At 56.5% G+C, this 26,702-nt stretch overlaps 1 protein-coding gene and 2 long non-coding RNA genes across 8 annotated transcripts in view; 2 read left to right on the top strand and 1 right to left on the bottom strand.

Annotated features, from left to right (window-relative positions):
* VSTM2B (V-set and transmembrane domain containing 2B) overlaps positions 1-3,357 on the bottom strand; it is a 39,134-nt gene extending 35,777 nt beyond the window's left edge. Inside the window, exons 1-4 of one of the 6 annotated variants that reach the window (XM_011526902.3) lie at positions 3,118-3,357; positions 2,110-2,712; positions 1,380-1,564; positions 313-342 (exon numbers count right to left, since the gene is read on the bottom strand). In XM_011526902.3, coding sequence (XP_011525204.1) covers positions 313-342; positions 1,380-1,564; positions 2,110-2,191 — 297 coding nt within the window. In that variant the 5' untranslated portion in view covers positions 2,192-2,712; positions 3,118-3,357. Of the gene's footprint in view, positions 1-312; positions 343-1,379; positions 1,565-2,109; positions 2,782-3,117 lie in introns of those variants that run through there. The other 5 variants (XM_011526903.3, NM_001384641.1, NM_001146339.2 and 2 more) reach the window with 5 other exon arrangements.
* LOC124904683 (uncharacterized) overlaps positions 1-26,702 on the top strand; it is a 41,102-nt gene that overhangs the window by 506 nt on the left and 13,894 nt on the right. The window lies entirely within an intron of this gene.
* Positions 3,025-26,702, top strand: part of VSTM2B-DT (VSTM2B divergent transcript) — a 238,742-nt gene continuing 215,064 nt past the window's right edge. Inside the window, exon 1 of the long non-coding RNA NR_040029.2 lies at positions 3,025-3,351. This is a non-coding gene — a long non-coding RNA (VSTM2B divergent transcript). The remainder of the gene's footprint in view (positions 3,352-26,702) is intronic.

The raw sequence follows: 26,702 nt of genomic DNA, 5'->3' as shown, positions 1-26,702 counted from the left end.
GAGCGGAGGCTGGCAGGCGCGAGAGGCCCTAAGCGCGCAGTCCGACCAAGGGGAGTTTTACAGGTCAGCGCCGAGCCGAATTAGGGGACTCAAGCCTTGGACCCTTGATTTACACAAAAGAGAACCCGACCCTGCAACCGGCGACAGATGGCGCCCGGACACGCCGAGCAGCCACCGATGCAAGGCTGCGATCGCTGCCCTACTTGCGCGGCCCCACATGCGCGGCCGCCGCGGCTTGCTAAGGGAGGGAGCTGCGGGACCCGAGGCGGCCAGAAGGGGTCTCCCGCGGCCCGCGCTGGGCTCCACACTTACGCTGATTTTAGTTGCATCCTTATTTGTTACCTAAAATGCAAAGAGGGAGAGAGAGACGTGAGGCTCGCGGCCTTCTGGCTAGGGGAACTCGGATCCGCCTTTAGGCAAGGGCACCCTCCTCCGGCAGGCTAGGACCGAAACCGCCCGGGGGATGGGGGTTGAGGGCACAAAGGACGTCCGGCTTTCCAAGAGTTTCCCAGGAGGAAGCGGGCTTTGGAGCTAGCATGGTGCCTGACCAACGGGTGGCTGCCCTGGTGCACACCTGCCGGCTGAACTGGGGAGACTGGATGGACACCAGGGTGGGAAGGAAAGCCCCTCTCCTTCCCTCTGGGCATCCTTAGGCCCTGCCGCGTGGCTCAAAATCCTCCCCCAGCTCACTGGGAGCCGTGAAGAACTGGAGGGAGGGCCGCTGTGTCTGGACAGCACCCAGCGGGAGGCTCAGTGGGAGTAACTCTGGGTGGGACCCTGGGAGAATGTAGGTGTGTGTAGGTGTAGGTGTGTGTGTAGGTGTGTGTGCACGCGAGCACACTAGAGTGTGTAAGAGAGTGTGGGTTTTGAGGCAGACAGGCAGCGTGGGCCTGTTTTCGGCCACAGAGAAGTGGCCCCTCTGTGCCCCTGAGGGCTGGAGGTCCTGCCGGCTTTCCGGTACTCGGTTTTCTGGTGGCCTCTGGAACGCAGCCGTGGGAGCCCTGGGGTCCTCAAAGTGGCAGAGGGCGGGGAGAGCCTGATGGGACCAAGGGGGCTTCCTTCACTACCCAGCACCCATCAGAGGGCCGCAGCCAGCGAGCACGAGCAAGCGACCAGGCTGAGGTGTGGCTCTTTAGGGGCTGGGCGTGAATGGAGTTCTGGGAGGTGGTGGGAACAGCGATGCTGTCAAAATAATTGACAGGTTTGGGGGTAACCACTGCTGACTTTGAAGATGCTTTGGGATGCGAAGGTGGAAGATGGGCTGCGCCACAGGGCGGCGCCCTGCGCGAGTGAAGCCCGCTGCTTCCCTCCCTGGGTTAGCCTTCGCCGCCCCGGGCGCGAGCCGGGCGCGCGCCGGTACCGCGTGGGCGGCGGGTTACCTTGCTCCGGGCGCCCGGCACGCTGAGCGCCAGCTCGTGCAGCAGCTCCCGGGGTGGCTCCTTGAGGTACCACCACTGAATCTCCAGCGAATACGAGGTGGCTCCGCTGGCCCGGAACGCGCAGGGCATTTCGATGTCGTCTCCCTCCCGTACTGTCACATCTTTGGGGACTTCTGTGAATGCAGCTGGGGGTGGGGAGAGAGAGAGAGGCGTGACCAGCTGTAGGTCGGGGGCCTGGGGCAACCTAAAGCGAGGCAGTCGGTCTCTGGCTGGCTGGCCTTGTGCCCCCCACCCCGCAGCTGCTCCCTGGCGCACGGCCGGAGGGGCTAGCAAAGTTCGGGGAAGCGGCTGCAGGGCCGAGGCAGGGACCGGCCATCGGCTGCCTACTGCTTCCCTCCGGATGGGGCGGGGCGGCAGGGGCGACTCGTGCTTCTCCCCCGCCCCTGGCCGCACCGCCAGAGCCTGGCTGGGGCGCGCCTACTCCCGCTCCCCGCAGGCATCCTTTCCGCAGCCGGGGCCCCGGCGGGACTGGGAACGACTCGGGCGCGGCGCTGCTGCTGCGGCGACCCTTCGCCGCTCGCCTCTCCCTACCCCTCCGGGCCCAGGCTGCACAGCGGGATTGCTGGAGACCGCGAAGCTTCCCGGTTCGTTCTCTTTCTTCTTCTTCTCGGTGGCGGCCCCAGCAAAGACCCCCCCGAGTCCACAGCGGCAGCAAAGTTCCCGCGCTCACCGTCGGCCACGAAGAGCAGCAGGGCATGCAGCAGCAGAGGCGGCAGGTATCCGAGGGCACCGAGCCGGTTCCGCTGTTCCATCTCCCGCGGGGGGCGCGGTGGCGGCGGGGGCCCGGGAGCGGAGAGGCGGCGGCCGCGTGGGCTCGGATCGGCTCCGGCTCGGGCTAGGACGCCTCCGAGCCTGCCATGGCCCCGCGCGGCGCCCCCTCCCCTGGCCGCCGGCGGCCGCCAATCAGCCCCGCTCCCTCGCCGGCTTGCCCGGTGCGGCTCCGGCGGGGGGCGCTGCGCGGGGTGTGCAGGAGACGCGGTCCCACCGGGAGGCTGCTGGCGATCGGTCAGTGCCTCTCTCTGTCCGGTCGTCCACAGGACGGTGGGGATCCGCGGTTCAGTCTCTGCCCGGCGGGCCGGGCAGGGGCTGGGCCGCGCCGGGACCCATCCCTGGCCGAGGGAGTGCGTGCCACGGAGCCGCGAGCTTCTGCCTCCCTGTCTCCTTCTGGTTCTGCTCCCGATTGCCACCTCCTTCGGCTCCCGCAGCCGCCCCCGCCGGTTCCTCCGCGGCTCTTTCCGCAGGGCGAGTGGGCGCTCAGCCGCGGCGCGCAGACCTGGCGTCCGACCCAGCGCAGCGCGGGGAGAGCGGGTCCGGCGTGGCGGACCCGGAGCCGGAGAGAGGCGGGGAGAGGGGGAGGGGAGGGGAAGGGAGGGGGCGGTCAGTGGCTGGGCGCCAAGCCGCCTCCACCGCTGCATCGCCCCCGCCCTCCCCTCTCCTGCCACAGCCCGCCCCGCCCCCGCCCCAGAGCGCTCCCCCTCTCTCCTCGGGGGTCGCTCGGAGGGACCACCGTCTTTCTGGTTGGAGTACAGCCCCGCCCCGCACCCGCTTGGGTTGGGAGTCCTCCCACCCAAACTCTCCCTGGCTTCTTCCCAGTCTGCACGGCTCGAGACGGCCGCTCATCCCTGCTCCCCGTGTGTCCCTCGGTCCTCTCTGCAGCTCCCAGCCCTCAACTCCTTACCCCAGTTTGGGCAACCAGCTGCCCCGCTGTTTGGCCCAGGCCTGGGCCATGACGGATGGGTGGGCGCCCGGGGCCGCGAGAAGGGCGGAACGCTGTGCCCAGCCGGAGACTACGCTGGGTGGCGGCGGCAGCGCCGGGAGTCTGCAGTGCGCGAGGGAGAAGTGAGCGCACAGCGCCCAGCGAGCAGGTGCCTGCGGCGCGGAGAGCGCACACGCTAGCCAGCCCGCAGCGGCCGTGAGTGACGGCAGGGGCGGCGGGGGTGGGGTGGGGTGGGGAGCGCCGGGCACGACTCAGGGCCCGGGAGGTTTCCGGGAGGGGGCGGGGTTCCTGCCCCTGGATCGCGGGTCCCTGTGTCTCCACGCGCTCTTCGCCGGTCGTGGCCCCTTCTTTGCCCGGTGCAAAGCGAGATGCCGAGGCGGCAGGAAGCCGGAACCCATCCCCCGCCTGCTCTGGCGTACTCGGCATCCCGGTACCTCCCCCAGCCTTCACCCGGAGTCTGCTCCCTCCCCAGCCATCTGAGGGAGCGCGGTCTGGTCCCCGAAGGCAAATGCGGGGTGGACATGTGGTTCGGACGCAGCGCGTAGTCATAGTCATAGGGGCGAGTCCTAAGGCTCGCCTTGGGTCTCTCCTATCTCCTTCCCCCGGGAGTCCCCAGCTAGTGCGTTTCGGCACCTCTGCCCCTACCCCGGCCCCTACGCCTCAGCTCTGACCTCAGGTTGGGGTGGGGCAGCCCGGTGGATTCACGTGCCTGCTTCCCCGGCTACCAGCCTCCCGGAGGCACCGCCAGAGGATTCCCTGGGAGCCAAGGAGAAGGAAACCCAGAGGGAAAACACTCTCCAGCAGCCACCCTGGTCCAGGCGGCCAGCGCAGCACAGCTCAGAGGGGAGGAGCTGCAGGCCCTCTCCAAGGCTGTCCTCGCCAGCGGGTGCCCGGGGCCAGCCCTTCTTGCCTCCAGTGCCTGCCTTTCAGTTTCCTCGTCTATGGCCCAGGAGTCACTCCCACCCCCTGGCTCACTGTGGCTCATCTATCAAGCCCTTGTTTTCTAAGGTCTCCTGCTGGGGGCAAAGGGAAGAAGGGGGTCCTATAGGACTTTCCTCCTTTCCCTCAAGTTCCTCTCTAGGGGCTCCACAGAGGCAGTTGCCAGCTCCTTCTGTCATGGCAGGAGCTTTTCCTAGGAAATCCCATGTGCCCTTAGAAACCACTTTGGACCCCCGAATGTAAGACCCTGCCAGGCCCCATTGCTGTCCTCAGCTTCTGAAGGGAGAGGGCAGACTTGCACCGCTCTATGCAGATTCAGGACCACAGCGGGGTTCCAGGAAAGCAGGCTCATTTGGGGACTGATTCCAAGCAGGGTTCTGAAGAAAGAGCTAGCCCACTGCGCAGTGGCCCACCTGGAGAGGTAGCAGTCTCCTTTCCTGATGCCAGATCCAAGCAGAGGCTAATGCTGGAGACCAGCGATGCCCGTGGGAGAATCCCTGTAGCTAGAGGGAATTATCTGGAAGTAATTTATCCCTGTACCGCCTTGTGGGGTTGGGTGTTTCTTGCCCACTGCATGAGTTGGTATTACTCTAAGAGCGACAGATACATGTTTTCACATGCTTTCCATGTACTAGACACTTTCTAGGCATCAGTTCTCAACATGACAAAGAGATCCTTCTCAGGGAAATCAGATCCCTCTTCCACTGCTGAAAAACCCCACAGTGGCTCCCATTTCACTTGGCATAAACACCAGTGGCCTTGCAGTGGCTGCCAAGGTCAAACCATCTGCCTTTCTGCTTCCTGCTCACCCTTTTCCTTCATCTTCTCATCTTTTCTGTCTTCTCCATAGCTCACACTCCCCTAGCCACACTGTTCTCCTTCCTACAATGCAGCACACTGGGCATGCTTCTACCCCAGGGCCCTTGCACCAGCCGCACCATCTGGTTGACATGCTTCTCCCACAGATACTTGCTTGGCTAACTCCGTTGTGCTCTGGTTTTTGTCAAGCAGTCACCTTCTCCATGAGGCCCACCTGGGCCACCATATTTAACACTGCAGTCTACACTGCCTCTCCTCCCACCACCCAGCACTCCCAGGCCCTCACTCTGCTTCCTTTATTTTTTCCATTTCGCCAGCCATCTTCCAACACATGGGACCACATCCTTATTTATTGAGTGTCTTGTTGCAGGTCTCTAAGACTGTGCCTGCCTTGTTCACTGATGTATCTCTAGCGCCTACAACAGGGTCGGGCACAGAGTAGGAGCTCAGTAAATACTTGTGGAATGAATGAATGAGCTCATTTTACCTCAATCACAACTCCAGGGGTAGACATGGTGATTTCACTCCATTTTATGGTTGAAGCTCAGAAGCTTACGGAACTTGCCCAAGGTCACATAGTTAGTAAGTGGCTGAGTGACGCATCAACCCAAAGCCTGTCTTACTCTGGGGTCCTGGATCTTAACCAAAACACTAAGCTCTTCCCTCCTCCAGGTGAGCCCCTGGTCCTGATGCCTCGAGTTGGTGTGGAGAGCAAGGCCCTACCCTTGACTGATGGGAGCAAGGAGCAGCCTGAGCTAGACTTGTAGTCTCTTTCCTGTCTGTTCAGCTTGGTCTATCTGTTTTCTGCCCTGCCTTGTAGACTGTGATGAGAGCAGCTGACCCACCTTCACTATGGTTTTTTTTTTTTTTTTTTTTGACACGGTCTTTTTCTGTTGTCCAGGCTGGAGTGCAGTGGCACGATCTTAGCTCACTGCACCTCAACGTCCTGAGCTCAAGCACCTCAGCCTCCAGAGTTATCATGCTGACACCAGGAGGATTAGCCCACCATGCCTTGCTAATATATATATATTTTTTTTGTAGAGATGGGGTGTTGCTATGTTGCCTAGGCTGGTCTTGAACCCCTGGGCTCAAGCGATCCTTCTGCCTCAGCCTTCCAAGTAGCTAGGACTACAGGCATGCACCATCACACTTGGCTAATTTTGTGCTTAAAATTTTTGTAGAGGTGAGTTCTTGCTCTGTTGCCCAGGTTGGTCTTGAACCCCTGGGCTCAAGCCATCTTCGTGTCTCAGCCTTCTAAGTAGCTGAGACTACAGGCATGCGCCACCATACCCAGCTAATTTTTAAAATGTTTTTTGTAGAGATGGGGTCTTGCTGTTGCCCAGGCTGGTCTTGAATGCCTGGGCTCAAGCGATCCTTCTGCCTCAGCCTTCCAAGTAGCTAGGACTGCAGCCATGCACCACTATACCTGGCTAATTTTGTTTAAAATTTTTTGTAGAGGTGAGGTCTTGCTGTGTTGCCCAGGTTGGTCTTGAACCCCTGGGCTCAAGCCATCTTCCTGTCTCAGCCTTCTAAGTAGCTAGGACTACAGGCATGCGCCACCATACCCAGCTAATGTTTTATTTTTAATATTTTTTGTAGAGATGGGGTCTTGCTGTGTTGTGCAGGCTGGTCTCAAACTCCTGGCCTCAAACAGTCCTCCTGCCTCTGCCTCCCAAAGCACTGGGATTATAGGAGTGAGCCACCACACTGGCTTTCTCTGTGTCTTTAACTCCCAGCTGGGCCTGCCCATAGTTAGAGCCTAGCAAATATTCGGACAGGGAACCCTGCTAGGAGCACTTTGCCTCCCTTTTGCTGTGGGTTTTCTGTGAGCAGGGCAGGGATTTTGTCTCTTCGACTTAGCCCTTTGGCTAGTTGGAGGATTAGTGAGCTAAGACCAGACTGCAGCTCCTGCCAGTCAGAGGGCACTGGGTTCCTTCCCTGCCAGTCTCTGCCAAGCCTGGCTCCCCACTCCCTGCAGGGGAGCCATTTCCTTCTCACTAAGTCCTGGTGGGATGTGGTCTCTCAGTTGGAGACTCTAAAGAAGGTGGCTGGGGAGGAGCATGCGTGTCACTTCTCCCAAAGGGACACTAAGCTCTGCGGACACAGCCATTCAGGTCTACCTACTGTGGTATCTCTTGGGCTCCTACAAAGATGACCTGTTTGCAGTGAATCGTGGTTATGTGAAGCTATGGACTTGAGAGTATTTCATGATCATTTTGTTTCTAGTCCTGATTAATCATCAATGGGAACTAACACGGTTTTCCCCTCCCTCCATCCACAGCTATAAAATGCCTGTGGGGTCGCTGTGCACAGAGACCTGGAGGCAGATCCTCTTGTAATGTGGTTGATGGGGCCATGGGTTGGCTGCCCTGCCCAGTTGGCTGTGCCCGGGGGGCTTGCTTCTGCCAGGGCCTGGCTACTGTGTGCCCAGCCTCGGGGCTCTCACTCATTACCTATCATGAGCTGTTATTATAGGGCTGTGAGCTGGGGTGCTTGTCAATACCATTTTGTGGATGGATTCACTGGACTCTCAGAGGCACTTTAAAAAGCGCTATTTAAAAAGACTGCCCAGCCTCTTGTGAAAGCACCCTTAAATTACAGCCCTAAGTGAGTGTTTTTCCTGGAACTCACTTTCAAAATTTATTTATTTTAATGCTCAGGTCCTCTTGGAGTTGGGTTTCAGTATTCTTGTCTCGGATGACCTTTCTTGTCCTCCCTGTACCATGTACGGCAACATTGATTTTGGGTAATGTATTTTGATTTTAAGATGCAGCCCATCCATAAAGTTTTCTATCAATAATCCCAGCACACTCTGTGTACCCGACAGCTTATAGGAAAATAGGAGATTTATGGGGGCTTTTATTTTTGGCCAGTTTAGTCATTCACACGCCACCAGTGTCAGGGATAATGGCCTGAAGTCCGGTCCCAGGAAGACGCCCCTCCAAGGGCACACATCAGGTCATCGAGGGGTGGAGGCCTGGCCCTGCCTGGACCCTGACAGGGACTGCTGGGTACTGCTGGAGAGGGAAGCAGTGATTGATGCCCCTAAGACGGAAGGAGGGGCAAGTGAAACGGCTCACATTTTGGGTTCCTGGGGCCCTTGCTTGCCCCACGTCCTCAGCAACTTGGAGTGCTGAGTTCCAGGAGGAGGGTAGCAGGTGCCAGTCCCTGCATTGCATGGAGACAAGAGAGGGCCCCCTGCTGTCACCAGGGCCATCAGGGAGGCAGCCTGCCCTTTCCCGTGTGCGCTCGCACTTGGCAAAGCAGGCCTGCTCGTGGTCAGCCAGGGGTTGGCCAGCAGCAGCAAGAGGACTCACAGCTGCCAGGCCCCAGGGTCTGGCCTGACATTGCTGCATCGGTGCCATCACACTGCATCTTCAGAGCCTTGGGCTGTTTGCTTCCTTGTCACAGGCAGGATCAGTTGGGTTTGGGGATGGTCTAGAGAAGGTGAACACCACAGGAGAAACTCCAGGCAGGGCCTGTTTCACCCCAGACATTTTTCCAGCCAACATGTCCCGAAGACTGATCATTTATCTAGCATGTGTCTCATGATATGCTGGTGCAGGGGATGCTGCCATAAGCAAGACACACAGGCTTCCTGCCTGCAGGGAATTCGGATTTGCACCCGGGAGCGGGTGGAGACAGACCCCCAGAGAAGAAACAAAAACTAAGTCTGATATTTCACCCAGTGCTCGGTGCACACCCGCACGTAGTGGGAATTTTGGTGGTGGGGGAAGGTCTGGGGCTGTCAGCCAGGCAGACCTGGGGAAGGAAGAGTGCTTTTGGCAGAGGACACACGAGTGCCAAGCCCATGGGAGGAGACATGGGGGTAGAGCATGGCTTGTGAGCGAGGGGGGCTTGGTGGGACAGGAGGCAGGACAAGGGAAGCTGGGGCTTTGCAGCCACATCAAGGATTCCTGTGCCCAGAAGAGCGGGGCTCAGAGCTAAGCAAGATGTGGCCCTGGCTATGAGGCTCAGAGCCTCGTGGGGAATCAAGCTAAGCACATAGTGATCCCAGCCCTGGCAGGGGCCACCTGAAGAGGTGAGCAGTGGGTCCTGCCTGGGGAGGCTTCCTGAGTTCCGCCTAAGTGCAGAGTAGAATCTGGCTGAGCTAGGTGGGAAGGGGTTAGGGTACATCGGCATCCCAGACAAGCAGCTGCCTATGCAAGGGGGTACAGGCAGGAGATCTGGGGACTTCACTGGGACAAAGAGAAAACTCCAAGAAAGCAGGATCAGCAGAAGTGGCATTGGGGGACAGGACAGGGTAAGGCTTTGGACTTGGTGACAAGGAGGAGTTCTGACCCTGATGGCAGCATAGGGGGCAGTGGGAGCTGGGAAACTGCCATCCCCTAGAGGGGCGGTGGCTGGGAGCTGAGGGCAGAAGCCACGTGGTTGCCACAGACCCCTCCTTATTGGGTCCTGGCTCTGAGGAGAGACCATTTAATGTGTCCTCACCTCCCACCTTCCTCTGCTGGCCACCCCCTTTGCCTGCAGATCTGGCCCCAGCAAACAGCAGTGCATCTGGTGCAGTGAAGGTGGGTGGGTTTCAGAGCAGGCCCCTGTGCCCAAGTCCCAGGGCCAGCCTGCCTCGCCCCACCCTTCCTGGTTCCTCTGCCCTCCCTTGGGTGCCAGCCTCTGTGTTCTATAGGGAAAGCCCAGACGCTGTCTCTGATGAGTGTCATCAAAGCAAGATCCTGCCTCACGGCCTGGGCTGTGTATGGCCAAATAGACAATTAAGTAAAAAGCAAAACAAAGCAAAGCAGAACGAAGCAGAGTGGGGTCCAGGGCTATGGAGTCTGATGGACGTTGGCTCAGATCCTGGCTTTGCCTTGGCCTTGCAGAGCTTCGTTTTTCTCATCTGTAAAATGGGTGTACTGGCATTGCTGCCTGCAGTGGGTGAATGGGGGGATTGGTTTTGAGAGCCAGTCAGTCAGCACCTGGGGTGTGGCCCTAACAGCAACAGTCCACATGTTGGTGCATACGCCTTGCTAGCTTTGGTGATGTGAGGATGTAGCATGGGGTATTTGAGGGCATAGCCCAGCCACTTTTGAACCCAGGTGCTTAAGAGGGGTGGTGTTACTAAGAGGAGAGGAATGGCCAGAACTTGGAGGTGACTGGTGGAGCTGAGCACCCCCAAATTGATTTTATTACAGCCCCTGTGTGTGTGTGTGTGTGTGTGTGTGTGTGTTATTTAATCATTTGCCAAGATAAATCTTATAGACCCATGAAGAGTTTATTTTTTTTATTTTTAATATTCTCAATACACTTGGGGTTTTATTTCCCACTAGATCTATTAGTTTAATTTAGTAGAGGACAGACTGTATACTTAACAAAAAATTGCTTTGACATTATGGAGAATTAAGAGGCTGGGGCCAGATGGATCTCAGCAGATCGATCTGTTGGAGATAAAATCTGCTATTTCCCCGTGCGCTTCCTTCACCTTAATGGCAAGGCTGGTGATTAGAAATCATGGAGCCAGCTCGTCATGACCAAGGGTCGGCCAGAGGGTCAGGGCCCTGGCTCCCTTGTGCTCTCCAGACCCATGGAGAAGGCTACCTGCTGGCAGGATGCCTTTTAATGGTTCCAGTGGAGATGCTATGGGGGCCTGGGGCATCTGTGGCAGCTTCCCAGTGCTGGGTCCTGCCAGCCTTGGTCCCCTGTGACTGACCAACCTCCTGCAGGGTTGGTCTGATGTCGTCAGGGAAGCAGGAACACAGGGCGGGGAGCACGGTGCAATGGAGGCAGTGAAGGGGTGGTCAAAGCCTGGATGCAGACACTGCCACTGTTGGATCTGTGCTGAGTCTCTCCACCACACCGAGCCTTGGACCCTCTGCTCAGAGGGCACTGGGTTCCTTCCCTGCTCCCAGGGCTGCTGTGAGGTCCACCAGCTGATGCCCAGGAAGTAGCTTTGCAAATTGTCATGGGGTGCACTCAGGTCAATGTTCATGTTTCTGTGTCCCCTGAATTTCTGGATCCCGAGTGGCTCGGGAAATGCCAGTCACACTAAAGTGTGGCTTCTGATCCAAACCCCCAAGGTTCTGGCATCCCTTCTCCATCTTCCTGGGCCACCATCTAGAGGCTTCTGACCAGAGCATCCCTGAGAATGGGTCCTGGGGCCAGCTGGTGACACTGTGGACACAGGAGTTTCCTGGCTCTTGGTGGCTCGCCTCTGTGCCCTGGGGTGGCTCTGAAGGGTGGGGGAAGCAGAGGATCCTCCATCCCACCAACACTGTCCTGGGCTGAGTGGCCCCTGAAGGTCTAGGGCCCCACCTGGGGCTCCACGGTAGGGCACAGGATGTGGACTCCGTCCCACTTCACAACCCTCGTGGTTGCCAGCCTGGCTCAGGTCTGCACCTGCTTGCCTGCCTGTTCACACAGCTTTCCTGGCAGACTCTGGCCAGCTGCAGTCTCTCCTCCTCCAGGAAGACTTCCTCCTGCTTGCTTCCTCCTAACATGTTGGACTGCCCTTGTTTTTGTCCCTACATGAAGAACTGCCCTCGTGTCTGGCTTTAAGCTCTTATTTCAGGAAGGCCCTAGACCTGCTTTCATCTCAGGCCAGCTCCCAGAGTCTGAGGCTGCACCTGGGCTTAGCAGGAGAGTGTACCATGTTGCGATGTCTGCTGAGGGCTTGGGGGCTGGGGGAGGTGGCAGGATTCGCTACCTCTAGAGTGGCTTTCTGGGTCTCCCTGAGTACTGGAGGGAGCTAACGGCTTCTTGCACTGTCCCTCGAAGGCCAGCACAGGGCTGGCTCTATGCGCATGCAAGTCTGTGCCAGAGTTGATGGGCTCTGGGAGGCCCAATGTCCATGTGAGAGGCGGTGTGCTCGGGGAGGGGGCTGGGACCTGGCAGGGTCTCATTTCAGCCCACTCCCAGCTTCTGCCCAGGTGGGGTTACCTGGAAAAAAAGATGCATGCTCTGAGCCCTTCCAGGGCAGGAGCTGTGCTCTGGTCATCCTCGTACCTGCCTAGTCACCTTGCCTGGCACATGGCAGGGGTCAGTGGGTGCTGGGCTGCAGGAAGCTGAGGCCATTTCACATCTTCTGGTGGGGCCTCAGGCCCAAGCTGTTCTCTCAGAGGAACCTTGGTCTGTCCTGGTCTCATCCTAGGTGGTGGCCTCTGCACTGTGGGACTGCAGTAGGCACAGTACTGGGGTTTGAGGACAGTCACAACCTCCGGATTTGACATCATCTTTGGCTTCAGAGGTCAGTTCATTCCCCCACTGCAGAGAGCACATGTGGCAAATGGACCAACCAGGTGCAGAGGGATGGGGTGGTCCTGGGGGGGCTGTGGCCATCTAGGCCCTTTCTCCCCTTGGTGCTGACGTGGGGCCTGGGCGGAGCTCTGTGGTACTGCCGTGACCTTCATGCCTGACTTGTCCCCTTCGAGTCCCTCCTGCTGATAGACTGGCAGCTGCCAGCGCTGCGCGGTTTGTGAAATGTCAGTGGTTTAATATCAATTCTGGAGGTTTTATTGCCTTTCCCCCTGTTTTCCGATGGGATTTTGATCCAATCAAAGCCGATATAGAGTGATGGTAGATTTGTGTTCCGGTCCGAAGTTGGCAAAAGGTCACCGTGCCTGGGGAGCTGGGGCTGCCTGGCCTCGTGTACATGTGGCTGCTGTCCCCCTAGGCTCTGTAGGCAGACCACGCTTCCCCAGAAGCGCAGGGTCAGGTGGACACAGACTGCTCCCCCGGGGCCTGCTGGCTGGGCCAGGGTACCTGCGGGTTTAAATTCAGCAATCACCAGCCACAGAAAGCCCTGGTTTTATTTGCAAAACATCTGTGATGCTTCAGATCTAGCTTAATTTTTCACGGTAATGTTGCAAAATGTCATTTTTCCATTTCAAAATAAAAATAAAAAGCCCTATTGATTGAGATTCTCTGTCTGGGGAGAGCCCCGGCGCCGGGCCACACTGGCTTGTGCCCCCTAATCCCCCTTTCCCTCCTCTCTCCGGCTGGGCTCTCTGTACTCACCAGCAAGTGCCACTCGCTGTCCGGCTCCTTCCAGGACCCGGGGCCGGTGAGGGGGGATAATGGGTGCAAGATTCTTTGTCAAGTTTTGAGCTGGTCCCATGCCACTTTAGACAAGTGGTATCTAGAGGTTTTATCCAGCTTGGCGAGTCTCTAGGGAGTGCCTGCTGTGTGAAAGGCCTGGTGCTGGCTTGGAGGTGGGTGGTGGGGGGCACACCTGGATGGAGGACCAGGCCTTGCTGGGCTCAGAGCTCTCACTTCTTTGCTGTGGAAGGGTTGGTCCCGTGTGATTGCAGTGGTGCCATCGGTCTACACCGTGGCTTCCAGAGCCCTTTTGGCTGGGGGATGGGCAGAGAGATACTAGGGTGAGCAGGCTGAGGGGACAGAGGGGCAGGGGATGAGTGACAGAGCTGGGGGAGGCCTGGTGAGAGATGAGAAAGGGAGCGGCAAGTGCACCTGGAGGGTTGGCAGGGGCTAGAGTTCCCCCACACCTGGAGTGTGCCTGGAGGGTCGGTAGGGGCATAGTTCCCCCACACCTGCCTCCCTGTCTCTGGGCCTGGGGAGGGACCCAGAGGTTGGCCACCCAGAGGTTGGCCACCCCTGGGTCTCAGCCTCAAGCACCACCCTTTCCCATGGCTATGTGTCCCCTAACTCTTCTAGGTGCTGGGGTCCCAGGGGTGTGACCTCAGGACACAGACAGCAGGTATGCAGAGAGGATGTGTATGTGTGTGCACACACTTGTATGCGGACAGTATACCCGTGTGTGGATGGCATGCCTATTGTGTGCAGACAGAGAGCGTGTGTGCAGATGGGGAGTCCCCTGTGTGTGTGTGTGTGCGTGCACACACACAAATAATGTCTGCTGGCATAGAGGAGTGACAGCTGATGTGAGCAGATGACACAGTGTGTATAATGACATGCCCAGAGTGTGTGCAGGCGGTATGTATGTATACAGAATGTGTGTGTGTAGGGAAAAGGCAGCAAGGTGTGTTCCAGCCAAGAGGCCGGCAGTCCGTGTGAGGCAACAGGAAAGTGGAGACCTTGCTCTTGGAAGAGACCGTCTCCTTCCTCCTCATCCTCACTCTCTGTCTTCCTCATGTCCCCCTCTCCTTCTTCCTCATACCCTGTCTCCTTCCTCCTGATTCCCCCTCTCCTTCCTCCTCATCCCCCCATCTCCTTCCTACTCATCCCTCTCTTCCTCCTCATAACCCCTCCCCTTCCTACTCATCCCCCCTCCTTCCTCTTCATCTGCCCTCTCCTTCCTCATCCCCTCTCCTTCCTCCTCATCCCCCTTTCCTTCCTCCTCATCCTCCTCTCCTTCCTCATCTTCCCTCTCCTTCCTCCTCATCACACCTCTCCTTCCTCCTCATCCCCCCCTCCTTCTTCCTCATCCCCTGTCTCCTTCCTCCTGATCCCCCCTCTCCTTCCTCCTAATCCCCCATCTCCTTCCTCCTCATCCCCCCTCCTTCCCCCTCATCCCCCATCTCCTTCCTACTCATCCCCCCTCCTTCCTCCTCATCCCCCCTCCTTCCCCCTCATCCCCCCTCCTTCCTCCTCATCCCCCCTCCTTCCCCCTCATCCCCCCTCCTTCCCCCTCATCCCCCCATCTCCTTACTACTCATCCCCCCATCTCCTTCCTCCTCATACCCCCTCTCCTTCTTCCTCATCCCCCCTCTCCTTCCTCCTCATCCCTCCTCCTTCTTCCTCATCCCCTCTCTCCTTTCTCCACGTCCCCCCTTTCCTTCCTCTTCATCCCCCTCTCCTTCCTCCTCATCTTCCCTCTCCTTCCCCCTCATTACACCTCTCCTTCCTCCTTATCCTCCCTCTTCTTCCTCCTCATCACCCCTCTCCTTCCTCCTCATCCCCCTCTCCTTCCCCCTCATCTCTCCTTCCTTCCTCCTCATCACCCCTCTCCTTTCTCCTCATCCCCCTCTCCTTCTTCCTCATACCCTCCCTTCTTCCTCATCCCCTGTCTCCTTCCTCCTGATTGCCCCTCTCCTTCCTCCTAATCCCCCCTCCTTCTTTCTCATCCCTCCTTCTCTTTCCTCCTCATCCCCCCATCTCCTTCCTACACATCGCCCCTCTCCTTCCTCCTCATCTCCCCTCCTTCCTCCTCATCCCCCCTCCTTCCTCCTCATCCCCCCTCCTTCCTCCTCATCCCCCCTCCTTCCTCCTCATCCCCCCTCCTTCGTCCTCATCCCCCTCTCCTTCCTCCTCATCTCCTGTCTCCTTCCTCCTCATCCCCTCTCTCCTTCCTCCTCATACCCCTCTCCTTCCTCCTTATCCTCCTCATCCCCCTCCTTCCTCCTCATACCCCTCTCCTTCCTCCTTATCCTCCTCATCCCCCTCCTTCCTCCTCATCCCCCTCTTCTTCCTCCTCATCCACCCCTCCTTTCTCCTTATACCCCCTCTTCTTCCTCCTCATCCCCCCTTCTTCCTCCTCATGCCCCCTCTACTTCCTCCTCATCCCCCTTCTTCTTCCTTCTCATCTCCGCTCTCCTTCCTCCTCATCTCCCCTTTTTTCTCCTCATCCCTGTTCATCTTCCTCCTATTCCCCCTTTCCTTCCTCCTCATCCCCTGTCTCCTTTCTTCTCATCCCCCTCTCCTTCCTCCTCATCCCCCACTCCTTCCCCCTCATCCCTGGTGTCCTTCCTCCTCATCCCTATCTCTTTCCTCCTCATCCCCCCTCTCCTTCCTCCTCATCCCCCCTCTCCTTTCTCCTCATCCCCCTCTCCTTCCTCCTCATCCCCCCTCCTTCCTCCTTATCCCCCCTCTCCTTTCTCCTCATCCCCCCTCTCCTTCCTTCTCATCTCCCCTCTCCTTCCTCCTCATCCTTCCTCTACTTCCTCCTCATGCCCCTCTCCTTCCTTCTCATCCTCCCTCTCCTTCTTCCTCATCCCCTCTGTCCTTTCTCTTCATCTTCCTATCCTTCCTCACCATCCCTCTCTCCTTCCTCCTCATCCCCCCTCTCCTTCCTCCTTCTCCAAGACTTCCTTTCTTCTTATTACCCTTTCCTTCCTCCTCATCCCTCTCTCCTTCCTCCTCCTCCCCCATCTCCTTCATCCTCATTTCCTGTCTCCTGCCTCCTCATCCCCCCTCTCCTCCCTCTTTATCCCCCGTCTCCTTCCTCCTGATCCCCCCTCCTTCCTCCTCATCCCCTCTCTCCTTTCTCCTTATACCCCTCTTCTTCCTCCTCATTCCTTCTTTCCTTCCTCCTCATCCCCCTTCCTTCCTCCTCATTCTTGTTCTCCTTCTTCCTCATCCCCCTCTGCTTCCTCCTGATCCCCCCTCCTTCCTCCTCATCCCCCCCTTTCTCCTTACACCCCTCTTCTTCCTCCTCATTCCTTCTTTCCTTCCTCCTTATCCCCCCTCCTTCCTCCTCATCCTTGTTCTCCTTCCTCCTCATCCCCCTCTCCTTCCTCCTCATCTTCCCTCTCCTTCTTATACTCCCTCACCTTCCTCCTCATCCCCCTCTCCTTCCTCCTCATCTTCCCTCTCCTTCCTCCTTATACTCCCTCTCCTTCCTCCTCATCCTTCCTCTCCTTCCTCCTCATCCCCCTTCTCCTTCCTTTTCATCCCCCCTTCCTCCGCATCCCCCCTCCTTCCCCCTCATCCCCATCTCCTTCTTCCTCATACCTCCTCCGTCCTACTCATCCTCCCTACTTCCTCCTCATCCCCCCTCCTTCGCCCTCATACTCCCTGTCCTTCCTCTTCATCCTCTTTCTCCTTCCTCCTCACCCTCCCTCTTCTTCCTCTTCATCCCCCTTTCCTTCCTCCTTTTCTCCCCTCCTTCCTCCTCATCCTTGCTCTCCTTCCTCCTCATTCCCTATCTTCTTCCTCCTTATCCTCCCTCTCCTTCATCCTCATCCTCACTCTCTTTGCTCCTCATCACCCCCTCCTTCCTCCTCATCCTCCTTTCCTTCCTCCTCATCCCCCTCTCCTTCCTCATCCTCCCTCTCCTTCCAACTCATCCTCGCTCTTCTTCCTCCTCATCCCCCTCCTTTCTCCTCATCCCCGCTGTTCTCCTTATTTCCCCTCTTCTTCCTCCTCATCCCCCCTCTCCTTTCTCCTCATCCCCACTCTCCTTCCTCCTCATTCCCCCTCTCATTTCTCCTCGTCCCCACTCTCCTTCCTCCTCATTCCCAGTCTCCTTCTCTTTTCCTCCCTCCACCTCCCATCCTTCCTCTCACCTCCTCCTCCTGCTTTCTTTTCTTTTCTTTTTTTCTTTTTCTTTTTTTTTGAGATGGAGTCTCACTTTGTCGCCCAGGCATGCAGTGGCACGATCTTGGCTCACTGCAACCTCCACCTCCTGAGTTCGAGCGATTCTCCTGCCTTACTCAGCCTCCTGAGTAGTTGGGATTACAGGCATGCACCACCATACCCAGCTAATTTTTATATTTTTAGTAGCGACAGGGTTGCACCATGTTGGCCAGGCTGGTCTCAAACTCTTGACCTCAGGTGATCCACCCACCTCGGCCTCCCAAATTACTGGGATTACAGGTGTGAGCCACCACACCCTGCCCCATCCTGCTTTCTTCTAAGGGCACACTTTCCCTCCTGGGGTCACAATTCTGGGCCCGACTTCCCTTTCTTCCTCATTTCTCAGAACAGTCCTCCTTCCCTTGCTGGGCTGCTCTTGAGGGCAGAGTGGATGGTGACCCTTCCCCTCCACGCCAGGCAGGCTTGGGGTGGCCAGAAAGACCTGCTCCCCAGGACTTGCCCTAGCCGCAGAAGAGGGGACCCCCTGCCCGTGCAGCCCCAGGGCTTCTTTCCCTCCCCTGCTGCCTGGAAGGTGGCGTCCGAGAGCTCTCAGAGGCTTGGGGCCCAGCATGTGGATTTGTAGGCCATAAGGGGCAGGAGGACAAGCAGGGAAATGGGTGGAGGGGCCTGCAGGGGACAGGCAGACATGGAATGGGGTGTTGGGGGGCGGGCCTGAGATGCTGGGGATTGGCAGGGCCTGGAGCCACATTGCCCTCCCGCATTCCTGGGGTGGGAGCTGCTGGGCTCTGGCCTGTGGCTGCCCTGTGGAGAGCAAGCCCTGCGTGGCCAGCTGCCCCAGTGTTTCAGATGAAGCTGGAAACCCAGATTTTTATGTAAAATCTAATTGTTATATGTTGGTTCTACTGCAAAAATAAACGCTGCTGGGTCTGCAGGCTGATGTGAGGGCCCAGCTTGCCACCTCTGTTCAGCCTGCATGGGGCTCTAGGCCTCCTCTGTCCAGCCCCAGCTGTGGCTCCCTGGGCAGGATACTTTGGTGTGGCATCCAACCAGAGGGTCTGAGGTGTGTCCTTGCCCACTCTCCTCTCAGCCTTATTAAAACCTGTGGTGACAGGCCAAGTGCAGTGGCTGACACCTGTAATCCCAACACTTTGGGAGGTTAAGGTAGGCAGATTGCTTGAGCCCAGGGGGTTGAGACCAGTTTGGGCAACATGGCAAGACCCTGTCTCTACCAAAAAATACAGAAAATTAGCTGGGTATGGTGGTGCGTGCCTGTGGTCCCAGCTACTCAGGAAGCTGAGACAAGAGGATCACTTGAGCCTGGGAGGTGGAGGCTGTAGTGAGCTATGATTGCACCACTGCATTCCATCTGGATGACAGAGTGAGACCCTGTCTCAAAAAAATACCTGTGGGGACAGTGATAGAGGACGGGGGAGAGTTGGGCACCCTCATGCCAGCTGTGGGGATGCTTGTGAGACTTGAAGTGCCTGTGAGCTATGTTCCCCATGGGTTCGCAAACTCACCTGAGTTTTTAATCTATTTCAAGTTTGGGTGAGGATGTTACCCCTGAATTTGGCCTTTTTTTCAGTCCTGTATCTAAGTTACCCTCTCACCTGTGCCTGGCACTGGAGCATTTGAGCCCAGGAATAATCGCGGATGGTGCTGGTCACAGGGAAGCATCTGGCAGGTGGTGCTGGCTGCAGGGAGGCGTTTGTGCGTTGCTCTGCCTGGGAGGGCTGTGCACCTCTGCAAGTCAGGTTCTGTGCTCTCCTTTCACCCTCATGCCAATGCTGTGCCTAGAATTCCTCTCCTTTTTACAGACAAGAAACCGAGCTCGACGCAAGAAGAAGTAGCTGGAGCCCCAGCCCTGAGGTCCCTGCCACTGCCTACTTAGCTCCTCACTCCTGGGCTTGAGGGTCCCAGGCTGGAGAGGACAAAGGGCTTGCCCCATTCCCAGGTCTTCCTGCACAGGCCTACAGGGGCCACCACCCATCTTCCTTCCCTGCACAGCAAGGCCTCCCTGCCTCCTGGACAAGTGTGTCTTCTGCGTGGACTTCCAGGCCACCCTGTCCCGGAATTGGCTCCTGCTGAGGTGCCTCAGTGCTGGCGTGTTCTCAAATTCGAGGTGCACGTGTTAGTCCTCATCTTGACTTTCTAGCTTATTAGGCTGAGCTCTGCTTTCTGAAGCTCTGGGTTTCTGTGACCAGATCTCTTTACTTTCCTCTAGTGACTCTGGCCACACATCTCCGTCTCCTTGTAAGTTTTCTGGTGGCCGCCTTTGTCAAACCCCAGAGTGTAGGGGTTCCCCACAGCTCAGTGCCGTGCCCTCTTCTCTAGCTCCAGATGGAGGTGGTCCTTTATCTTGGTGGGCTTCCATGGAGATGTCACAAGGGAACTTCACAGTGTTCATATGAAGCTGGTGATTTTCCTTCGCAAGCCAGGCTCTCAGCAGGGGCTTGAGGCTGGTCTACTATGAGCCTGGTAGTTGCTTCTGTTTTTTGTCTTGGTAATTGGCCTGACACCCACATAGCCCAACATGAGGGATCCCTGATGCCTTTCCCTCCCTACCCTCTGCGGCCTATTGCTGAGATCTGGGCTGTTACCTTTGGGACAGCTCTCAGATCTGTCTATTTCTCTTCACCGCCTCAGCCTCCAGCCTCGTCCCGGCCCCTGTTGCCTCTCCCATGCCCTGACACCTAGTACTGCGCTTCCTCATAGAAGAGGCTCTGTGAGCAGTTGGAGGGGCTCTCCTGCACTGAACGACACATCCTTCTGACTGTGTCCTTCAGGGCTTGGGCTGTATCTGCAGACAGATGTCTGTGATTTCTCTGCCTCTGTTGCCGTGGTGCCGTTCAACTCTGAGATGCCACCCAGACCCAGGAGGTTCCCACGGGCTCACTCTGCCAGGATGTCTGTGCCTCCTCCTCCTCAGAGTCATCACTTCCATTTGTTTTATTCTTTTAAAATTTATTTCAGATTTGGGGGACACATGCGGGTTTGTCACATGGGTATATTGAGTGATACTGAGGTTTGGGCTTCTGATGACCCCTTAACCCAAACAGTGAACATAGTACCTGATAGGTGGTTTTTCAACACACACTGCCCACCCTCTTGTAGATCCCAGTGTCTGTTGATCCCATCTCCATGTCCATGTGTACCTGGTGTTTACCTCCCACTTGTAAGTGAGAATATGTGGTATTTGGTTTTCTGTTTTGGTGTTAATTCCCTTAGGATATAGCCTCCAGCTGCATCCACGTTGCTGCAAAGGACACAATTTCATTCTTTTTTATGGCTGCATAGTATTCCATGCACTATCACTTATTGAGTACCTACTGTGTACCTGACAGAGAGGAGGTGTGCAATTAAGTGTTTCTTAGATTAACAAGTGAATGAAGGCATACATATATTAACTTACCCTATAAGAAAGTTACTATCACCATTCTCACCTTGCACATGAAAGTCTAAGTTCTAGAGCCATTTTGTAAAATAATCAAAAGACGTGATGCTGGTCCACAGTGCAGTTGATTCTGAGCCTGTCCCACCAGCCAGGAGAGGCCACATCAGAGCTGTCCAGGGTCCCCCCTCAGCGTGATCTTGGTCTCCTCCACCTTCTCTCCCCATTGGAGCATTTCCCCTCTTAGCGCCTCAAGTTAGGGACTGTGTAGACACAGCCATTAGGTTAGTCAGTGCAGACTCTGGTGAGCAACTGGATAATTATTCCCAAAAATATTGACTTGTGATGTGAAGAAACTCCTCTCCATGCCACCCATCAGCAGAAAATTGCCTTTGGTATTAACATTTCATCAACCGCATAATGTGAATTGATGTAAATGCGTAATTAGAAATAATAGCCTGGGAAAATTTGCTCTTATTTATAAAATTGGGCTTCTTAAATTAAAATGGAAGCTAATGACTTCCACGTACTGTTACAACATGTCTGAGGCTTGGCCCGCTCTGCTCTTGGAGGCTCTTCATCACGTCGGAGGGCGCTGGGGGCATCAACAGCTCTGTGGGGTGACCCTGGAGCAGGGACGTCCCCCGAGGCGGCATGGACACCACCTGTCCTAAAGATGGCTCTCCAGCAACGTGAATAGGCCTCGCAAACACCTCTTCATCAACACGACAAAAGGCAGTCTCCCAGGAAGGAAGGCGCAGTGACAATTTTCTGGGCTCTCATTCTTCCCTAGAGTGGAACGGGGACCAGCCTGCCGGCTCACCTGTGTGCCAGGGAGGTCATGGGCTTTCTGTGTGGAGGTAAGCCCCTGCTCGCCTGTCTCACTGGGCCCATCCCACAACCTCAGACAGGGAACCATGAGTCAGGCCTCCCCAATCAGGACACTCTGGCCCCTGACTGCAGTAATAGGGTCAAGGGTGCACGGTGTCCCGGCTGGACCTGCGTGCATCATGATGGTGAGCTTGGCCAGAGTCACCAGGAAAGTGGCACTCCTTTGTCCCCAGCAAGGCGGGCTGTGAGGATGGCCAGAGCCGGCTCTGCACCATTTGGGGACAAGCCGGAGCAGAGATCCCGAGAGCTGACTCCCGCGATGCAGCCGTGCTGGGAGAGAGGTGCACCCTGCATTCCTCAATTCCGTGGACCTTACTACCTTCCTGTTGCATTCCACACTCCAGTTGGAGCTCAGTTTTCTGAAACAGAAAGAGTCCTGGCAGTCTCTATCCAGGTCTTTATCTCCCATTAAAAATCACTCATTAAATAGCAGCTGCTGCTACATTTAATAAGACCCAGTTTACATGATCCCCTATCTCTCCTAGAAGGGCTCAATGATCTGCAAACAGCCTCACCTACCAACCCTATTGGCATGTCATCTGCCCCTTCCTGGAGGGCCCAGACTTCACCTTCCTGGGATTGTGGGTCCCACGTGTTCTGCAGCTGAGCCCTGGAGGGCCTGGTGTGCAGGGAGCTTCTGCTGGAACCTGGGGTGAAGTCAGTGGGAAGAGGGCCTGCCTTGGGCTGCCCTGGGGTGTGTGGTAGAGATTGGTGCAGACATAGGTGGATTTTTTATTTTAATTTAATTTCTATTTTTAAGAGTTGGGGTCTTGCTCTGTCGCCCAGGCTGGAGGTGCAGTGGCATGATCACGGCTCACTACAGCCTCGATTTGCTGGGCTCAGGTGATCCTCCTGCCTCAGCATCCTGAGTAACTGGGACTACAGGTGCATCCTACCACATCCGGCTAATTTTTTAATTTTTTGCAGAGACAGGGATCTCACTGTGTTGTCCAGGCTGGTCTCAAACTCCTGGGCTCAAGCTATCCTCTTGCCTTGGCCTCCCAAAGTGCTGGGATTACTGGTGTGAGCCACCGTGCCCAGCCTGGATTTCTCATCTCCAAAGAAAGGTGTATGATTAACGATAAGGCCCATGGAAGAGGAGTCATTCAAAAGAGACTCTCTCCAGATAGTTTCTGTCCTGTCAGTTTTCAGAGAAGGGCCCCGGGGGTCCTGGGATGGTGCATTTGGGCTCTAGTGGGGCAGAGCTGATCCTAACTCCGCCTCCAGTGCCTCCCCTTGGATGCCTTCCCGGGGTCTTGGGACCCGCACTGTGGGTGGCCACACACACTGTTTCCTAGGCCGCGCAGGGCGTGCTGGGGCGTGGGTCTACCCTCCAATCAGACGGAGTTCTGAAGGCTCTGTCTGGCCTTGTTCCACCATGTCCTGCTACCCTCCTCACTTAGGGAGTCCAAACTTTTATTTATTTATTTATTTATTTATTTATTTATTTATTTATTTATTTTTGAGACAGAGTCTCACTCTGTCACCCAGGCTGGAGTGCAATGGCGTGATCTCGGCTCACTGCAACCTCTGCCTCCTGGGTTCAAGCGATTCTGCTGCTTCAGCCTCCTGGGTAGCTGGGAATACGGGCGTCCACCACCACGCCTGGCTAATTTTTATATTTTTATAGAGACAGGGTTTCGCCATGTTGGCCAGGCTGGTCTCGAACTCCTGGCCTCAGGTGATCCACCAGCCTTAGCCTCCCAAAGTGCTGGGATTACAGGCATGAACCACCGTGCCTGGCTGCGAGTCCAGCCATTCAAGGAGACAGGCAGCATCGTCCTTGAAGCTGTCCCTCTGCTAGGACGAAGGGGAAATTCTTCACCTCCTCTTTTTTTTCAATGGAGAAACCTGAGGCCAGATTAGGGAAGGGGCTGGCCCAGGGTCACACAGGGGTCAGAGGTGGAGAATGGGTTGAGCTGGTGGCTGGGAGGCTTGCTTAGGACCAGGGCTGCCTCCCTCTTCCTGGCCCCACCTGCCCACCCCAGGCTGTACAGGACCCTGAGCAGTCATCCCTGGGCCTCCCCTGGCCTCTTCCCTCCTCCTGTCCCTCCCCCAGAGACACAGGTTCCCTTTTCATGTGGGAAGAAAGCTGCCCACTTGTCTGCAGGAACAGCTGGGCCTTGTCCCCTCAGCTGTGGCTGGGAGCCTGCCGCGGACTGCACAATCCTGGCTGTGTCCTGGGGACCCTGGCACTGACGGAATTGCCTTGGCTCAGGCCCAGGAGCTGCAGGGGGCCTTGGGCCAGTGGGGTTGAGGCGGGGCCCTCTGGGAGCCCATTTCTTCAGACCTCTGCTTTCTCTCACACCCGGGGGCTGGTACCGGCAGAGGGGAGGGACACTGAGGCTGAGGCTGAGGCTGAGGCCGGAGAGCAGGGCCTGCTCCCTTATCACTCCTAGGGGATGTGAGCCACAGAGAGAAGCAGCTGCAGATTTGCTCCCCACATAGGCCCCCTCCCTGAGCTTGAGTCCCCCAGGGGGCCTGAGGCTCTTCTATAGGTGCACAGGGGAAGAACAGACGGAGACAGTAGAGTCAGGGACAGGTCCCCATCTAGGCCTTGAGGGTAGCGTTTATTTCTGGCTCTTCTGACTTCAGCCCATGAGGCTGGGCAGCTCCTCCCACTGTGCTGTCCCCAGGGCAGAAGCCTTGACATGCTGTTGAAGGCCACTGCATCCCCACTGGCCAGCCCTGCCTCATCTCTCTCCTTGGGCTGGCCTGTGCACTGAGCCAGGTTTCCTCCTCGGCCCATAGATGAAGGGTTTGCTTTGAACCCGCATTCTATCAAGTGCTCTGCAAACAGCACCACACACAGCATCAGGAGGCCAGCGCTGTGCCAGTCCTGACTGTGCAGACGCAGAGGCGAGACTCAGGAAGGTCAAGCAGCTTGCCCAGGGCCACAGCTGGCCACAGGTCCTTTTCACGCCGAAGCATGTGCTCAGGACCAGTGGGTTCCACCGCTGCTCCATGGCTGCTCCAGGTGTCTTGGTTCCAGCTGCCGTTTCTTCTGCCTGGAAAGTTGTTTTCTTTATCCAGATGACAACTGATTATTGAGTCCTTCCCCTGTGCTTATTCATGGTCTTCCATTCTAGAGGGGCAGAAAGATGATAAATGTGAATAAAGAGAAAAATCAGACAGTAGAGAATTGAAAGAGGGGTGTGCTTTGGGCGTGACTGGGGGTGCACTTGAGCAGCAAGGTCAGGGACCGTTACTGGGGACTGGATGACAAGGTTGGGGAACAGCTTTGTAGAAAGCAGAGGAAAGCATACTGGGAAGTGGGGAGAGCCATGCAAAGGCCCCGGGGTGTGGCGAGCACCGTGTACCCTGAAAATGGTGAGCTGTGCGTCTGGGACTGCAGGAGTGGGTGCAGGGGGCGTGGAGGATACATGATTGCTGAAGCTGCTGCCAGGAATGGGCGTCCATGTGGCTTTACGTCCCTGGACTCGCTTGTCCTGTCTGGGCATTGGGTCCCCAACAGCCCCCTGCTACCCAGGTACCAAAGCTGGAGAGGAGTCATGGGGACGGGCAGACATCTCCACTCAAGTAGCTGAAGGCTTGCCATAATCAGAAGAGTCAACCTGCTGCGTGTGGCCCCAGAGAGATGGGACTGATTGTGGGAGGTGAGTTTGGGAGTGTTTAGCAGCTGCAGATATTTGGGAATGAGAGGGGTCATCTGAGAGACAGTGAGCTGCCCGTCCCTGGCAGAATCTAAGGGAGCTATGCCTCGAGTCAGAAACTGTTCGAACAGCTGACCCCAGGGGACGGAGCAGAGGGAGCTGGGGCACTGAACTGGGTGGGACTGGCTCACCCTGGGGGCTCTTTAGTGCCATCTGAGCTGGAGGAAGGGTGCATGCTCCGTGCAGACCAGGGCCTTCGAGTGCTTGGGCCACATTGCAGGGCTGGCTCTGAGGTCTGGGACAGAATGTGTCTGGTGCTTAATAAATTTTGTAGCTTGATTGATTTCATCCTAGCCCTGGAGGAAAGTGAAGGGAAGATTTCTTGGTTTGAGAAGACCAAATTAGGAACAGATGTCTTTTCAAGCTATTAATAGGCGGTTGGGGAACAATGGGGCTTATTTTTAAAGGAGCCCATAGCATGCCGGTTGCCGCCGTCCACTGGAACGTTCCATGTTGGAGCATTTTGTATTCTTGAGGGTGGAGAGTCAATGACTGGGTCCCCCAATGCTCCACTGAGGTCACGATCCAACAGGTCAAATTTAACCTCTTCCTCTAAACCACTCCATTTCCCATCAGGGGCTCCAGAACACCCCACGATTCTGATAAGTGGGTACTGCCAAGAATGCTTTCTTTCCAGAGAAGGTGTGGTTCAAGATGTGCACTAATTGGCCCGAGTCACCCTTTGATTCTTCAAGACAGAAGCCTGGGGTTTGGCTCTTAGGCAAATCAGTATAAACCACCACGGAAGCTATTAGCAGCATTGGTAGCAGGATTCACAACTGCAATTGTTGGAAATGAAAATTGTCGATGGCTCTGTGCATGCGTGCTTTCTCTCTCGATTGCAATTTAAAAACTAACACCACTTAGCTCATCAAAAATAATCCTAGTGAGGAAAATGGCTTTGTTTTAAAAGATCCCCAACATTTTGCCTTAATGTGTTCCTTTGAAGAAAGTAAAGTTAATTATGATGCAGGCAAGAGAGTTATCTGACTTGATGTAACAGGGTGGATTGTGTCTGTGTCCCCACCCTGTAGTGTGTACGGACATGGTGGTGGAGAGAGTTCTATTCTGGGGCAAGTGCGCCTTCCGGGCAGGCCACTTGGGCAGTCAGCTTCCCAGGCTCATGGTGGCTGCAGGAAATGCAGCACCCCAATACCCTTGCTGACTGTTGGTCATTTTTGAATGAGGCCCAAGTTTCTCTCTGGGACTGAGCCCTGCTGGGATGCCTGCCCCCTCCCTGTCACTGGGGCTTGTCTCAGCCCTGCAGAAGTGCCTGCCTGGAGACACAGTGGATGCTGTTGGCATGCCCCCTGTACCTCCTGGACACGCACGGCCACCCTGCACACCAGCCACCTTACCCTCGGTTCCTGTGACTCAGCCTGTGGGCTCCCTATAGCCACGGAGGCGTGTGGGCATCGGCATCCCAGGAGTGGCTCCAGCCAGTGACGGATGAATGGAGTGGATGGATAAATGCCGCAGCTTCCTCCCGTCTTATGTGGCCCAGCTCTGAGATGTGTCCTGCGCAGTTGCCAGGGGTGTCTTGCAGGCTCAAACCCCCATTGCCCACCAGTGACCTGCTCGCCACCACCTCCCGTGTCCTTTCTCCCCTGTCTCACTTCCTATTCCATTCATGAAAGGACTGA

The sequence above is a fragment of the Homo sapiens genome, chromosome 19 (genome assembly GCF_000001405.40).
Source record: "Homo sapiens chromosome 19, GRCh38.p14 Primary Assembly".
In the NCBI taxonomy this organism is placed as follows: Eukaryota; Metazoa; Chordata; class Mammalia; order Primates; family Hominidae; genus Homo; species Homo sapiens.
This window is presented reverse-complemented; position numbering and strand designations above follow the sequence as displayed.